General features: G+C 36.6%; 1 annotated feature.

Annotated features, from left to right (window-relative positions):
• Positions 5298 to 5809: an enhancer, noted in NCBI's record as "H3K27ac-H3K4me1 hESC enhancer chr3:81373681-81374192 (GRCh37/hg19 assembly coordinates)". NCBI's record gives its function as "activates a minimal SCP1, AML or CMV promoter by ChIP-STARR-seq in naive H9 embryonic stem cells {active_cell/tissue: H9 hESC(naive)}" and the evidence as "EXISTENCE:reporter gene assay evidence [ECO:0000049][PMID:30033119]".

Genomic DNA, 16070 nt, shown 5'->3' on the forward strand with positions numbered 1-16070 from the left:
GGCAAAACTGACGCTGCACACATGGTAGGATCCTGTGCTCACTTTCCCCTCTCTCTGTCCCTCTCTGTATGTGCACCTACATCTCCACCTATAGGTACACACACGCTCAGCTCTTCATTAATTAGTCATTGTTTTGCTCCCCCAAGAACGGATGACTTATTCTTTAGAAAAGGCTTCATTCAGTCCACCTCTTCGAAAGGACTCACTTCTCAACACTGCGGTTTATCGTTCTGAATTTTCCCACCGTGGATCTTTTTCTTCCGTCTATGACAGAAGGGATGCTTTTAGGGTTAAATAATACACAGCTGCCCACACTACCCACCCAGGACCCCAGTCCTTCTCTCCTAAATAGTCTGCACAAACTGTCCAGAGATGGTATCACAGACCTGGAATTAACACCAAAGCAACATAATTTTGGTACCTCTGTACTAAGCCAAGACTGATAATAAATGCTGTAATTAGAGACTACAAGAGCTTCTCAGCACAGCCTCACAAAAACCAATCTAACACTGTGAGGACACTGAGAAACGATTATCACTCCACACCTAAAAGTGTGTTTTCTCTCCATTCTTTTTGCACTTATTCAGCGTTGCTAATGTTAGAACTAAAGCATCTGCTTTCTGTTTGTTCGTTTTTTTGTTTGAGATGGAGTCTCACTCTGTTGCGGAGGTTGGAGTGCACTGGCATGATCTCGGCTCACTGCAACCTCCGCCTCCCAGGTTCAAATGATTCTCCTGCCTCAGCCTCCCGAGTAGCCAGGACTACAGTCACGCACCACCACGCCCAGCTAATTTTTGTAGTTTTAGTAGAGACAGGGTTTCCTCATGTTGACCAGGTTGGTCTCCAACTCTGGACCTCAGGTAATCTGCCCACCTCGGCCTCCTACAGTGCTGGGATTACAGGCGTGAGCCACCGTGCCCCGCCAAAGCATCCTCTTTAAGTGTGTTGTATGTTATGTGGCCATAAGATAGGCTTATTTTAGTGACGAGCACAAAATTAATTTCTCAAGATCTGCCTTGTGTGTATCCAACCCCCAACACACAAACACATATTCATGTGCATGTATACACACACACACACACACACACACACACACAGAGTTACAAGCTAGCATCAGTGGATAATATCAAAAGCTCCTGGAGTCAGAAAAAGTTAACAGAGTAAATCCACTTGTTTTGGGGTTACAGAAGCTTGGATTTTCCCCACCTCTTTCTAAATGGTTCTAAGGGACAATAGTTCTTTTCCCTGGGGCTTGTGGGGGAAGGTTAATTCTCAATAGGTGCTTTGAAACCTTAGGCTCCCTTTAATTACGTGGCTTCTGCTGTTCCCGATATTTCTTAATAAAAGAGAAACCCTAATAAGAATATATATGGGCTGATTCACAAAAAAATGTAACTAAACAGTACTTCATCTATAGGTCAAATCCTATAATGACAAAAACTAACATTTTCCATAAAACAAAAATACCCCACCTGATTATCCTTTATTTCAGAAAATATTTCATCAAAACTGTAAGATAAAGACCACAGCCATACTCTTGCAGAGTTCACCGCAATTGAACCTGATTTATTATGAGTCTGTGAATATCTTTATTCACAAAAGCTATTCACAAGCAATCCTCTGTTTTCTGTATTGACAGTTTCTCTATCAGGAATAGATGACACCAAAATTATCATTCTCTTTGTGTGGTTCCAAAACACATAAAACTCATTGTTTTTAACCAAGCCATTTCACTTTCCAATTCACAGACTCTTATTTGCTATGAGTCCCATTAGTCATTAGTATAAATTAGAATGGGTCTACAATTGTAATGACCCATGCCTTATTAACCTCCTCCCTTTATCAAGCACTGTGATTTAAGAGATATCAGTTCAGCCTACACAGGCTGCAAAATTAACATCAGCCACTCTGGAAATAATCATGGAAGAAAGCATTTAACAACATAAAAAGAAATCCTTAGCTATATAGGACCATTATTAATTTATAAGCTTAAAACTTATGGCAAATAAAAGAGTAGAGATCTATATGCAAATATGTGAGCATCTATCCAAGAATATGCCACTTCAGTTGTGTTGCATTTAGTTACTTCAAACACTGAATGCTTAAGCATGGAAAAGATCTGGTAATAGGTTTTAAATGGAGGTAGCATGGCTTAATGGACTAAGCTCTAGGACTTAATGGAATCAAGGAGTGAATTTTAAAAGCTGGTCTGCCACTAACAGGTTATATAAACTTTAGGAGTCACTTAAATTTTTACTAGCTTCAGCCTCATTACTTCTAATCAGTAACATCTGAAGTACTGTCTGCCAAAACCCACCCTGTTATCAGTTAAAAACATATTCAGATATGTGTGTGTTTCTATATGTGTCCACGTACTTATATTTTTACATAGGTATCTTCTCTTTACATATAGGCTTAATTTCAGTTATTGATAAAGGAGAATTTACTTTTTACTCTTTTTACCTTTCACACATCACTCTTCTAAATCCCTGGCTGCTGATGAAAGATAAAATCCTCCCTCTTCACCATTGTAAACTTTATATTGCTTGTGTATTTATACTGGAAATGGCACAAAAAGTTTAACTGTATTTTGACATTCTACTAGTCACATTTCCTGGTATACTAATGATTAGTATAGAAAGACCACCGGGGACTGAACATAATCATTAGGCAAGTTGTAATCATCCCATTCTTGCATGGTTACTTTTTAATCATATGTAGGGAAAGTGAGGGACTGCCTTACTTCTCTGACCCTGCAATTTATGCTAACATTAGTCATGTCAGCCATTGCTCCTGTCAATAGATGTCCTAGAGCAAACTAACAAAAGATGGAAATTGTAGAAAGAGGGAATGTAGATATCATGGATGAGATACCTTCTTGTTTATTTATCATTGATCCTCAAAATAAAAAAAAAAATCTAATATGTCAGTAGCACCCCTTCTTGTATTGTTACTTGTTTTCTGAAGTATGAAATCTCAAGGGAAGGGCCATGAACTGGCCTAAACACCCCTCTGCTACTCACTACTTCACATATTCAGCAAGACTGCTGATGTAGAGTGGGCCAAAACAGGAGGACATCTATCTGCATCTATTGGAAGAACAGACACATGGCCAAGTTGATATTACCATAATACAAAATATAACAAATCACCTTTTTACCATTTTCAAAGATCTAGGCACATTTTATCCTCATACTAACTCTACTGAGAAAGTTACTGTCATTAAATGATATTTTACAGTAAGAAAACTGAGGCAGAGAAAGGATAAGTTACCTTTTTAAGATCATATGCTAGAAAGTGGCGCAATGTGAACTTAAATTCTTGTAGTCTATCCAGAAGTGTGCCGTAGGAACTCAGATGAGAGCCTGCTGGCTGGAGCAATCCTGCTGCAATTGGTAATAAAACATATTTATTCTCAGAAAATAAAATCTTGGCTTTCCAAATGTCTCTTTAGTTGTGATATAGGTCTAAGTCAATCTATAAAACCTACCTTGCCTAGGCAGTATTATCTCATGGATTTATGTTTTAGTAGTGTGAGTAAATGCATGTCTTATGTAAAATAAGAAATTTTGAGGGAAAGGAAAGAGATGGAAGCTAGTATTCATTATTTATCTCTAAAGGCACTATGCAACATACATTAGTAAATCTTTAAAGTAACTCTAATATATAGGGATTGTCAAATTCATTTTTTCTGACAAGGAATTTAAAGCTCTAAAAGGTGTATCAACTCTCAAAGATTATCCTGATTGAAATTCAAACCTACATTTTTAAAATTTAAAAATATGTATGCTCTTTTTACCACATAAACACCATAGGCACAACCTCATTCCTTCCCTATTTCCAGTCCCACCATACATAGTTGGAGTTATTTATTAATTTTAAACTCAAGTTTTGTTTCATTTTGTAACTTCAATGGAATTATAGTGAAGGACTAATTTCACTGCTTAAGATGTAGTATCTCAAATCTCTAGTTATAAAGAAGGCTAAGCTAAGGGTTAAGGATCAAAAAGAGTTCATTTGACCATATAATCCCTGTCATTTATTAAAACAGATTGCATAAATTGCACTCAATAAGACAAAGGCTTATGATTATTTGATTTGTAACAACAAAACACATTCACTTGAAAACACTCAAGGTTGGCTCAGGCTCTGGCAGAATTATGTGCAGGTATCACAGCTAATCCTTTGAAAGAAATACAAACTGATGGCAAAACCCCTTAAAAGGAAGAAAGGAAGGAAGGAAAAGGAAGTAAGGAAGGAAGGAAAAAGGGAAGAAAGGAAGGAAAAAGGGAAGGAAAGAAGGAATTAAGGAAGAAAAAAGGGAAGAAAGGAGGAAAGGAGGAAGGGAGGGAGAGTTTGTTCAGGGAGAAGGAAATATACATATTGATCAAATTAGTCTTGAAATCTAGTATTTAATTTATAAAATAGTTCATGTTCCAGAAAACCACAGGAAATGAATGAATGTAAATGGTTAATACAAATATAACCCCCATTAATAAAGAACAGCATCAAACCTCAGGAAAGTCATTCTTTCAACTGTGTTTGAGTAAGGTGAACCCTCGAAGTTTTTATCCTTAATAATATTAAGTTTTCTAAGCACCAGCAGTGCTTAATAGGAGTATACTGGGAAGTGACTGGAAAGATCCATCAACAGCTGGATATGCACAGTGTCATCAACCTCAATTCAGACAGCTTGAAAGAAAACCTCTTGGAATTTTACACTGGTGACCATGAATCAGAGACAATGCCTTTAGTTCAGTGACAAGCATTAAGTTATGACCCTAAATCCTAAATTTGAAGGCTCGAATAGAAGATACCCTTGCTTCAGTAGAACCTGGCTCACCAAAAGGCTCACCCATATGGAGGTCTGAAACCTCAATTTTGTCCAGATTATACGCAGAAATTCCTCAAATCTCATATAATATTCATTCGCTGTAATGGAAACCATGCAGGTTCCTAGAAACTGTCAAGCCAGAATCTGAGCACAGAGTCAAATCTGGCAAAATAAGCTCCATTTGAGATTCATAATTCAAAATTAGAATACATGCAGCCTGTAGGCTAATTGTACCTTTGTGCAATCCAAGTTGATGCAGGGATGTCCGTGGAGCAGGTACATTGACCCAGAGTTGATACATGTGCCAAAGGTTTCTAGATAAAAATATGGGACAATGTCCTTGAGGTACATTATGGGAATGTGGATTATGGTAACTGGTGAATTAGCACATCCCTTGCCTTTTTTTTTCTGATAAAGCTTCTTTCTGGCAAATACCACTCAACATATTGTCAAGGAACAGACACCAGGCTGCTCATTGCAGAGAAGCTGCTAGGATAATTGATATCACATAAATGTAGGTTGGACCTTCTTGCAAAGGATACAGCTATCAGAGACAACGTAGTGTGGCAGAAGACATGTTGGGCTAGGAGAACAGAGACGTGGATCTATACTCCAGTATGCCATAAACTGACCTATTTATTCATAGGTAAAATGAGCCAGATTGGGGATGTTAATTTATTAACATAACACTTTCTAGAAACAAAACATGACAATATACATGTGTAGGTGCACACACAGGTGCGCACACAAACAGAGGTATTAGAATCGTTACTTTAATTCTATAGAGATCCTTAGGTAACTGGAAGCCATTTGCAGTTACTAAAATTCCTTTCAACTTTGTTATCACAAAATGTTGCATTTTTAACAATAAGAAACTATTTCTTTCCATTTGACTTATGAGAGAAAATAAAATAAGTAGGAACACCTACCTGTTGAAACACAATCCTGATGAGATCTATTGTTTTTACCAAGCAATGAACATGGGGAATGTGATTCAGGAGTCAAGCCTTATGACAAGGAAGAAAGAACGAAGAGAAAATAGTAAATGAGACTTAAAAGCAAAAGAACACAATCGCTTGCAGATAATGTCAACATCTCTTTCTAGGAGAAGCCAAGTCAAATATATCCCTCATATAGAGTCACCTCCTTTGGTTTGTCAGGAGGGAGAGGAGAGGGTGTTCTCTGTTCTGAGTGGGTCACTGAGTTACTAACCAGCTGAAATCCCTTCACCTGAAATTAGAGTTCCATATTTTCCCTGTGCAAAAACAAAGACTTAGATGTTATGGTTAATAGCTATATAAGCAATGAGACTACCTGCAAGATTCACTACTATTTTTATAGATTTAGGAGATACAGTGCACTTTTGTTACAACGACATACTGTGTAGTGTTGAAGTCTGGGCTTTTAGTGTAAACAATCACCCCAATAAGGTACATTTTACCTATTAGGTAATTCTTCATTCCTCACATCCTTCTCAACCTCCCACCCTTCTGAGTCTCCAATATCTTTTATTGCACTCTTTATGTTCATGCGTACACATTACTTAGCTCCTACCTATAAATGAGAGCATCCAGTATTTGACTTTCTGAGTTATTTCACTTATGATAATGGCTTCCAGTTCCACCCATGTTACTGCAAAAGACATAATTTCAAAAAAGATCAACACATTACAACACAGTTTTTCCTAGAAAGGTAAAAATAACACACTCCTTTGGCATTATTAGAAACCTCAAAATGAGAGGTCATTAAAAACCCACTTTTGTTATATACAAATAATAGAAATTACGAGGCTGCCCTAGAGATGTGAGACCCAAGAAATAGGATATACAAAATAGCAGAATGATAAACATAATAACAGGATAAATCCTGAGAACACAAAATAATTGCAATTGTGATGGGAGATATATGAAATTAGAAAGAGAAATATGCAAATTTAGAATAATTTTAATAGCAAAAGGTAACTAATTACAAAAGAAATACATAAATTTTACCCTTGATTCTGCCAGATTCTGACAAAACTTGGATGGAGTACATAATATTATCTCATGAAAAATTATTTAAGCTAAACTTTCACCCTTGGCCTATGTGTTGATCTTTTTACTAACAAGCAAAGTTTTTAAAATTGAATTCCCATATAAAATTTACTACTATTTGTAGCATGTGAAAAGCTCATTAAAAGTAGGTAAAGTTATTTACTCAAGGCACATACCTTAGAATTATCTATTAATATATTCTCATTAGTACACTGACACTCCCATTTATGTACAAGGAAACTAAGCCAAAAATTTCAGTTCATTTAATACAGCATATGGTATATGTGATGTCAAAAGAAAGGCATTCAAGGCCAGGCGCGGTGGCTCACGCCTGTCATCTCAGCACTTTGGGCGGCCGAGGCAGGTGGGTCACATGAGGTCAGGAGTTCAAGACCAGCCTGACCAACATGGAGAAACCCCGTCTCTACTAAAAATACAAAATTACTTGGGTGTGGTGACACATGCCTGTAATCCCAGCTACTTGGGAGGAAGAGGCAGGAGAATTGCTTGAACCTGGGAGGCGGAAGTTGCAGCGACCTGAGATGGGGCCACTGCACTCCAGCCTGGTAACAGAGTGAGACTCCGTTAAAAAAAAATAAAAAGAAAAAACAGAGAGAGAAGGAAAGAAAGAAGCAAAGAAAGAGAGAGAGAGAAAGAAAGGCATTCCTGTCATTTACAACAACATGGATGGAACTAGAAATCATTATGTTAAGTGAAATAAGCCAGGCACAGAAAGACAAGCATTGCATGTTCTCACTTGTTTGTTACATCTAAAACTCAAAACAAGTGAACTCATGAACATAGAGAGTAGGGTGGTTAACAGAGGCTGAGAAGGATAGTGGGAGCCTGAGGGGAGGTGGGGATGGTTAATTGGTACAAAAAATAGAAAGAATGAATAAGATCTACTATTTGATAGCAGAATAGGGTGAATTCTATTCAATAATAACTTAATTGTACATTTTAAAATAACTGAAAGGATGTAATTGGATTGTTTTTAACACAAAATATAAATACTTGCGGACACAACCCATTCTTCATCCTGCGATTATTTCACATTGCATGCTTGTATCAAAGCATCTTGTGTATCCCACAAATATGTACACCTACTATGTAACCAAGACAATCTTTAAAAATAGAAAAATGAATAAATAAATAAATAAATTTTAACATAGGGAAAAAGAGAAAGGCATTCCAGAGAAGGTAAAACACGAACTGAATGTTGGAAAACATGTAAGAGGTAACCCAGCCAAAGGGACAGGGCAGAAGGAAGCCTTTCTAGGCACATGGAGCTGTTTATAGTCTTTTGCACAGAACATGAGGGAGTGTGTGTGTGTGTGTGTGTGTGTGTGTGTGTGTGTGTGATGATATAAATCAGAGGTTGAAATGTTGTTGGAGAACAAATATTAAGGCATAGCAACAGAAGCAGCATGGAGAGACAGGCTGGATCTGTGTCATGAAGTATCAGGGTCATGCTTGGAAATGTATACAGTTTTCTGCAGACCACTGAGGAAACATTCAAAGATTTTAAACAAGAATATTTTTATTTGTAAAATAATCTTTCCAGCTAAACCACTGAAAATGGTTTAGAAGGGAATAATTCTGAAATCAGGGAATTCCATTATAAGGTTATTTTCCATAAACAAGATATTAATGAGAACCTGATTCAGGCAGGTGCAGAAGAAGTGACAGACTTGAAATATATGGAGGAATTGAAATCAATAGGACTTAGGAATCATTTCACGTGGCAGAGAGGGAGAAAACAAATATTATTGACAAGAATTTTATTTTTGTCACTAAGTAGAAGAGCAAATTGCAGGGCAAAAGAACACCAAGAAAGTTACAAGTTTAATGTAGAAGAAAAAAATGGTGCATCCAAGTTTTAGACACATGAGATAGGTAGTTATGTGTCTGGAGACTATGAGATAGGCTGGGCATGGATGTACAGGTGTGAGATTTACACGCATATAGAGAGTTATTAATCCATCAGAGTAAATGTGATCACTTAAAAGAGAAGGAAGAGAAGAGATCTATCTCTTGGGACTTTAATGAATACCAGTATTCCAAAATACAAACAAAGAGAAGTATATAAGAAAAGAAATTGAGACTAAAAGGCATACTGAGAATATAGGGGAATAACTGAGAGAGAGGAGAGATTGAGAGAAAGAGAGACTTAGATCATGGAAGCCAAAGGATTGCATGCCTGTATCAAAACACCTTATGTACCCAATAAATATATGCACCTACCATGTGCCCACAAAAATATACATTAAAAGAAAATTAAAAACCAAAGAAACAATGAACTTTGAAAAAGAGAAAATGGACCAATTTCCGAGAAAGGGCAAACAAAATAAGGAAAATTGAAAGTGCTTTGGATTTATAAACAAGGGAGCTATTTCCAGTCTTTAACCTAAGAAGTTTTGATACACAAGCCAGAATAGAGAGAGTTTAAAAATACATAAGACATTTAAAAGTGGAGACAATGAGTTTATATTTCTCTCTCAAGAAGTCTGAAGGAATTGGCAGTTGGTAGAAGGCTGAGCCAAGGCCAGCAAAGGGTTCTGGAGGCTCATTACGCACCCCCCTTTTAGAAACATTGTAGTTTTGAATGAGCTCAGTGATCTCAAAGAAACCTCACACAAGGTTTCTTACACAACCTGCTGAGCTCTAGAGGTTTTCTCATTCTTACAGTGCCAGGAAACTCTTATTCTCACATATCTAATCAACTGTTTCTTGTGTACAATTTCATACAACTATGCAAAGCTGAATGAGAGCATCATCTCTCTCTGCAACTCCTTGACATGTGCTTACCTGTGCTGTAAGGCTGCTTTGCTTGTAAATTCATGTAATAAACTTTTCGTTACAAGTATACGGTATGGCGAGGCACCAGTGGTGTGTGTCTGCTTCCCTTTGCAAATTATGGATGACCGCAATTAAAATATTCCACTTACTCTACTGCTATGATATTTTGAAAAGAACACAATTACCTAGGCCATCATGACAGGAGGAAATTTTTCCTCCTGGGAGCAGCAGCACATCATTTGGAGGACCACCAACTAGGTGGTCATGGCCTATCAGGACCTCGAATAGATCAGGGCACAAGATAATTAGGAGTCAAAATCCAAAGAGCACTGGATGTGTTGTTAAGGCTTCCAAGAGTCAATGAGAAGGAAGCCTGGCTCTACAATTCCTTAGAAGAACCCACCAATGTAAATGTGAACAGCTATGTTTGCTGTGATTATGGTTGCCGATGGGCCAGCTAAAATTTCAGAAGCAAGACATGCTGTGGACTGTGGCTGCTCCAATAAGGCAGGAGCCTGAAAGGTACCTAAGAATATTATAGAGCTAAACCCATGCTAGAGGCCCCAGGGACCATGCCTATGGGGCAAAAATGGAAGTGGGGAGCCTTTCTAGAGGTGTTTTCCTGTGGAATGGAAAGACTAGCAAGTTAGACAATAGGCCGAAGGAAAATCTAGACTGGATTTAGAAGTGTCAAGGAAGGGATAAACAGAAATAAAAACTGAGGATGGGGCCAGGAATCCTGCTCTTCGAAGGGGGAGAACCAAATGCTCCTGGGTTTGCTATTTATATCAGAGCTTCCATAGCTATTATTCCGGTTTGTTGGTTGATTCATTGGTTCGTTGGTAGGTAGTTTGCTGTTATTTTGTCAGCCTGTATAATTGGCATGTGCATTTGGAGCATGAAGGTGATTGGCTATGCTGGTAGGACGTTGCCTTTGTGACCCCAGCTAGGGAACTTAAAAGGGTCAGCCAACAGCATGACCAAGAACAATCCTAAACTGTAGTTGTTGGGGAAACCAGCCCCACACCACCCAGCAGGTACCCCAAGTCCAGTGGAGAGAAAGGAGTTAGAAAGAGACAGAAGAAGCATTTAAAAGGCAGGTCCAGGGGACCGGAGAGTCGGAGGCTTGCTCATGGCCCAGAGCTCTCGGGCTCCACCCAATTTATTGGTTTACAAGCTCTTTGTTCTTAGGGCAGATGGGAAGGGGAGGAAGGGATGAGGGAAAGGATTAATCAGTGAAGGAGAACTCGTGAGTCATTCGATAAGATGTATAGCAGTGGCGGTTTCTGTGAATTTCCTTGAGCAAAGGCGTGTGTCTAAATTACTTAAGATCATTAACTTATCAGGACTGAAATGGGTGGGAGCGGGTTTCAGGATGAGCCAAGATGTTTGATTATACTCCCTGCTTCAAGGGAGTGTTATCTCCCCCAGCAACCTGTGGAATGCCGCTGAGCGGTTACGCTCTGGGGGCATAAAGACATGAAGGCAATAAGGAGACTTTTCTCCTCAGAGGCCGCCCATGGCTCCCCATGGGTGTCTCACACAGGGCAGACCAACTCAACTGGCACCCCAGAAACTCTCTTTCCCACAGTAGTCTTTCTGGAGTCTCAACTGAATAATTAGTATATTCATTGAGACTTCTCTACTTGCCCATTTAAATCTCCAGCATCTCCCATCATCATTCAACTTCCAGAATCTTGTCTCCTCTCACAGCCACCAGTAGTTGTTCTCTTCCAAGACTTTTAGGTTTTTAAAACATGTATGACAATTCAGTGGTGGAGGGTACCTCCGTGCTAGTTCCTGGACTATTCTCTATGGTAACATGTGCGGATAAATACAGCTGCCTGGGAAGCCTCAAGCTGATCTGTGCTTTTCTCCATCCAAAGAGACTACTGACATCTACTTAGGCTCCACTTTTTAAACCACAGCTTGAAAAGTGGCTCCAGGCAGAATGCAGTGACTGTGAAGCTAACTTTCTGAGTTATCGTTAAGAATCACAGTACGGTCTTGGAATGTTGTCCAATGTCTAAAATACATGCTTTATATAATTTGTCTAGTTTCATAATCTTTGTGGAATAGAGTAAACCTTCTATTTGGTCATTTCTAGAATCAAACATTACAAAATTTTTAACAGCTACCACTCAATCACCTTCCCTAAACACTCACTAGGGATTTAGATAATATGTGAAAAGTTTTTAAAATGCAAGAAAGAAATAGAAAGAATTTTTATTAAAGAAAAGTGTAACCCAATAATTATTTTGTTTCAATCTTAATTATCAGTATTTAAAATATAATTAATATTTAATACTATTGCACTTTTGACTTTAACGTTTATTTTACTCTTGTGAAATGCCACAGAACAGAGAAGGAAGTGTATTTCAGGGTCTTCTCAAAGATGCATATGGCCTATTTTTAAAGAACAGGTACACACAACTGATATAAGGAAACAACAAGACAGGAAAAGATATAAAGTAAGATGTGGTAGCTGACGAAGGAAGACATGAAACCTAAGCTCCCAAATAGAATGTAATGTTTATATGTAATGAAATTGCTGTTTCATCTTGTCTCATTGCTAGAATGTCCTCTTTTATCATCCGATAGAGGAACAAGCTGGGGAGAACAGACTGTATTTAAGTCCACTCTGTATTAATCCTGAGTGAAAGCAAGGAGTAAAAAAAACTACCAAAGCACTTCTCAAAGTATGTTCCACAAAGTGCACTGTGCTCTTCCTGGAAAAGTTCATATATGGTCACAAAAAACTTAATAAATCTTGAAGACAATGAGAAATTCTACATTAAAATGACCTGATTAATTTGGCTTAATGTAGCCTTTCACAAAATTGCTTAACTACACAGAAAAATGTATGCAATCGTATCTACTAATATGATCTATGTTATTATATGGTTATGATGACTTGAAATGAGTAATCTTTGGAACACAATTTGAGAACTCCTGAGTTATTTTATTTCAAAATGTTTAAATGAGAGAAAAGGAAAGCCTGCAGACAACATGATGCAGTTTTTTTCCTGAGTCAAATTGATCAGTGGTGCTATTGAAAGATCCCATAACATGGTCTTCAAGACTAGAAAAATAATACACGTTTGACCCAATAACCATACAACTCAGGAGGAGACACATGAAAACTATGTTTAGGCAGATGGAAACATGAGTCGCAGAGTAACTTAGAAGTCAGTGTATATCAGAGAAAACAAAGTCAGGAGATATTATTCCACTGTTCAAAATACAAAGGTCAACAGACAAAAAGACAAATTGCAGTATTCTGGGTGAGATAGAGGAGCAGGCCTATTACTCAGCAATGTTACAGAAGGTGTATCTGTGCTAATGGAAAAGTCAGAAACAGGGTGGTGAAAAGAGCAATGTAATAGCAACATCATCAGCCCAGCTAGGCCTTTTATTAGAAAAAGAAAAATAGAATAGACACTTAAAGAAAAGACTGATAGAAGCCAACATTCCACTCAAAAAGGATTTTATAGCACACACCACAACGATCAGACACATTTCTACCAGCAGCAGAAGATAGCCAGCCATAAGAATATTAAAAGGTACTTGTAATAAAAATAGAAAAAAAAGTTTCTTTTTAAGAACCTGTATATCAAACAGTAAATCTATCTAGTAAACATGAAAAACACTGATGATTAAATAGGAGTGAAATCAGTATTATGTATACATGTAAATTATTTGCAAACCTGTATTGTTTAGCCAATTAACTCATAGATCATTCTCATTCATTCATTTATTATTTATTGACCAATAATATATAATTCTGATGTAATTCTCATTTAGATTGATGTTTAAATGGACATATTTAAACTTGAGTGAAGTCAATGTTATGATTTTGGTGCCTAAATATAAATTAACTTTGTGTCTAAGAGACGACAGCTTACCAGATAACCGGCCTTTACTTAGATATTTGTGTTTCATACTGTACCATCAAACATATGATGATGTTGATCCATCGTCAATAAAGGATGGGTTTCAAAGTATTTGCGAGCTGGGTTCTTTTTGCTGATTTTTGGTTTTATACGTTTGGAATATGGTAGATATGATCAAGTTGTATTATTAAAAAACAGATTCATGTCCTAATTATTAGTACAGTGTTCTAAAACAATGATGAACCAACAAGAGAGTTATCTTCATAGAGAAAATCTATACTTTCTAAGTAACATGTGTTCGGGGTTTTTTGTTTTTTTAGTTACACCTGTTATGAAATAGAGAAGAAGATGTTATGCTTGCATTTTAAAAAATTTCAATCTGGATAAATGTATCTAAAATATTCATAAAATTAAGCTTTTTCAGTATAAAAAACATGGTTTCCTAAATTGTTTACAGAGTGACTATAAGCTGATGGAGATATTTTGAGCACAAGGTGCAGCCGAATTTTAAATAACTTCCTCTTACTCCTCATCAGTATCTATATGATTTCTAATCATTCCTGTACACATCAGCTGTGATGAGGATGAATCCAGGTGTGATGAACATGTTCTTGTTATTCTGAAGGATGTTTATTTTTATTTATACCATTGTGTTCAGGCTGCTCAAGCACTGTTTAGAAGAAGTAGGCATGCAGAGCTTCCAAGTCAATCCTTATGCTAGCTGCATTTTTGGAGTGGATGTAGGCTCTCTTCTCTTTTGGATATAGATTTCCAGTTGGTATAGTATGAGTGATGCTAGGATACTAATTCTGAAATTGCCTTTAGTTCTACTGTGGTATAAAAAAAGTGTTGTCTATATAGTGGATCTATCTGAAATTTTAAAACTCTTTAGAAAATCTGAGAAAAAAGAAAACAGAAATTTCCCAATATCAACTTCCGTTAAAGAAAAACTTTCCAAGCCAGATGTCTGTCTGTAGAGTTGTATGTCAAGAACTTTGCATAATTATAGGTAATTATGCAAACCTTCTTGGAACACATATTCCATTTATTTTGTTGTTGTTGTTGTTGTTGTTCCTGAGATTAGAAACTTGTCAAAAAGGGCATTTTTACTTATCAATCTAACAGTAGATCCAAAAACCTTAGCATAATATAGGCTTTTTTTCTTAAGCATTTATTTGCCGACTAAACAAGCGATTCCTGTTTATTTCTACACGATAATAATTTTGAAGCTCAATCCACCCACAAGTCTAATGCTTCATATTTGCTGCTATGCAAACAGGAAAACTAAACAAGAGCCAACTAGAGAAACAAAGCTTAATGTTAGGAGCCCACCTGATCACACCCAGCAAATGGTTATATTTGGCTGATACTTATTAAAGCTGCATATTTGAGTCTATTAAGATGCATTTCATTACCTCTGACAAATGCAAATAGGCTTTCAACCTTTTCAGAGCAGCAGGATTTATTGTACAGTTGAAAGAATGATTGCATCTGCCTGTGGGCTTGGTGTAGTCTAATTTCATAATATATACACAAACAAGATTTGTTCTCGGAGTAACACTGCGACAATTTCAGAGCTGTAAGTCAGGTTCTTGATGAGCTCCTGAAAATATTTGTTTAGTATTCTGAATAATACATATAATTTACAGTGTTATCCTGAGATAACGAGGAAATGTTATTTCAAATAACAGCTTACTTGGTAAACATGGTTTTCAGTGAGATACTTCCCAGCTATCATGAGAAACCATACATTTATTTTAGGTAAGCTCATATCTATAACTCATGTGCCAAGAAAATTATGAATACTGCAGTGAATTGGCTGACATTCTGCCAAATAAGATTTAACTAGCAGCATCAAAAATACAAATGGATTAATGCAAATTAATTGCTTTGAAAATGCTTTATTGCACTGATAAAAACTACATTTTACTTGAAGTACAATGGGCAAACTATAACTCTTAAAAGCCACCAGAAAAGTATAATAAAAAAATTTGAAATAATTGTAATATAAAGTATTAAAAATATGTCCACTTTCAAAGTTTAGCTTACAAAAAAATGTTATTTCCACATGTCAATTTTTTACTTGAATTTTTAAATTTTTATTTTTTCAAATTTAATTATACTTTCCCACAAAGAATGAGATACACCTTGAATGTCCTGGTACACTTTACTTCAACAGTTAACTTAAATTTAGGTAGCTGGAGTACTGGTTCTCCTATTATTTAAAAAAAAAATTTATTTATCAAATCTGCATTTGCTTTTTCCTCTGCTCATTTGAATTTTGTATGAAGTTAGAAGATTTCAAAATTGATTTCTAATTATTTGTTTCTCTGTTTGCTTCTAGGGAACTGTAATGAATCCTTAAAGGTGTAAACATATTAGTCCACAAAATATAGACAGATGATAGATATAGACAGATAGATATACATATATGTGTATGTATATATGTATATTCTTATATAAATATAAGTTATATATAGTAGTAATCACAATAAATAGATATTCTTTTCC

This window comes from Homo sapiens, chromosome 3, assembly GCF_000001405.40.
Source record: "Homo sapiens chromosome 3, GRCh38.p14 Primary Assembly".
Classification (NCBI taxonomy): Eukaryota; Metazoa; Chordata; class Mammalia; order Primates; family Hominidae; genus Homo; species Homo sapiens.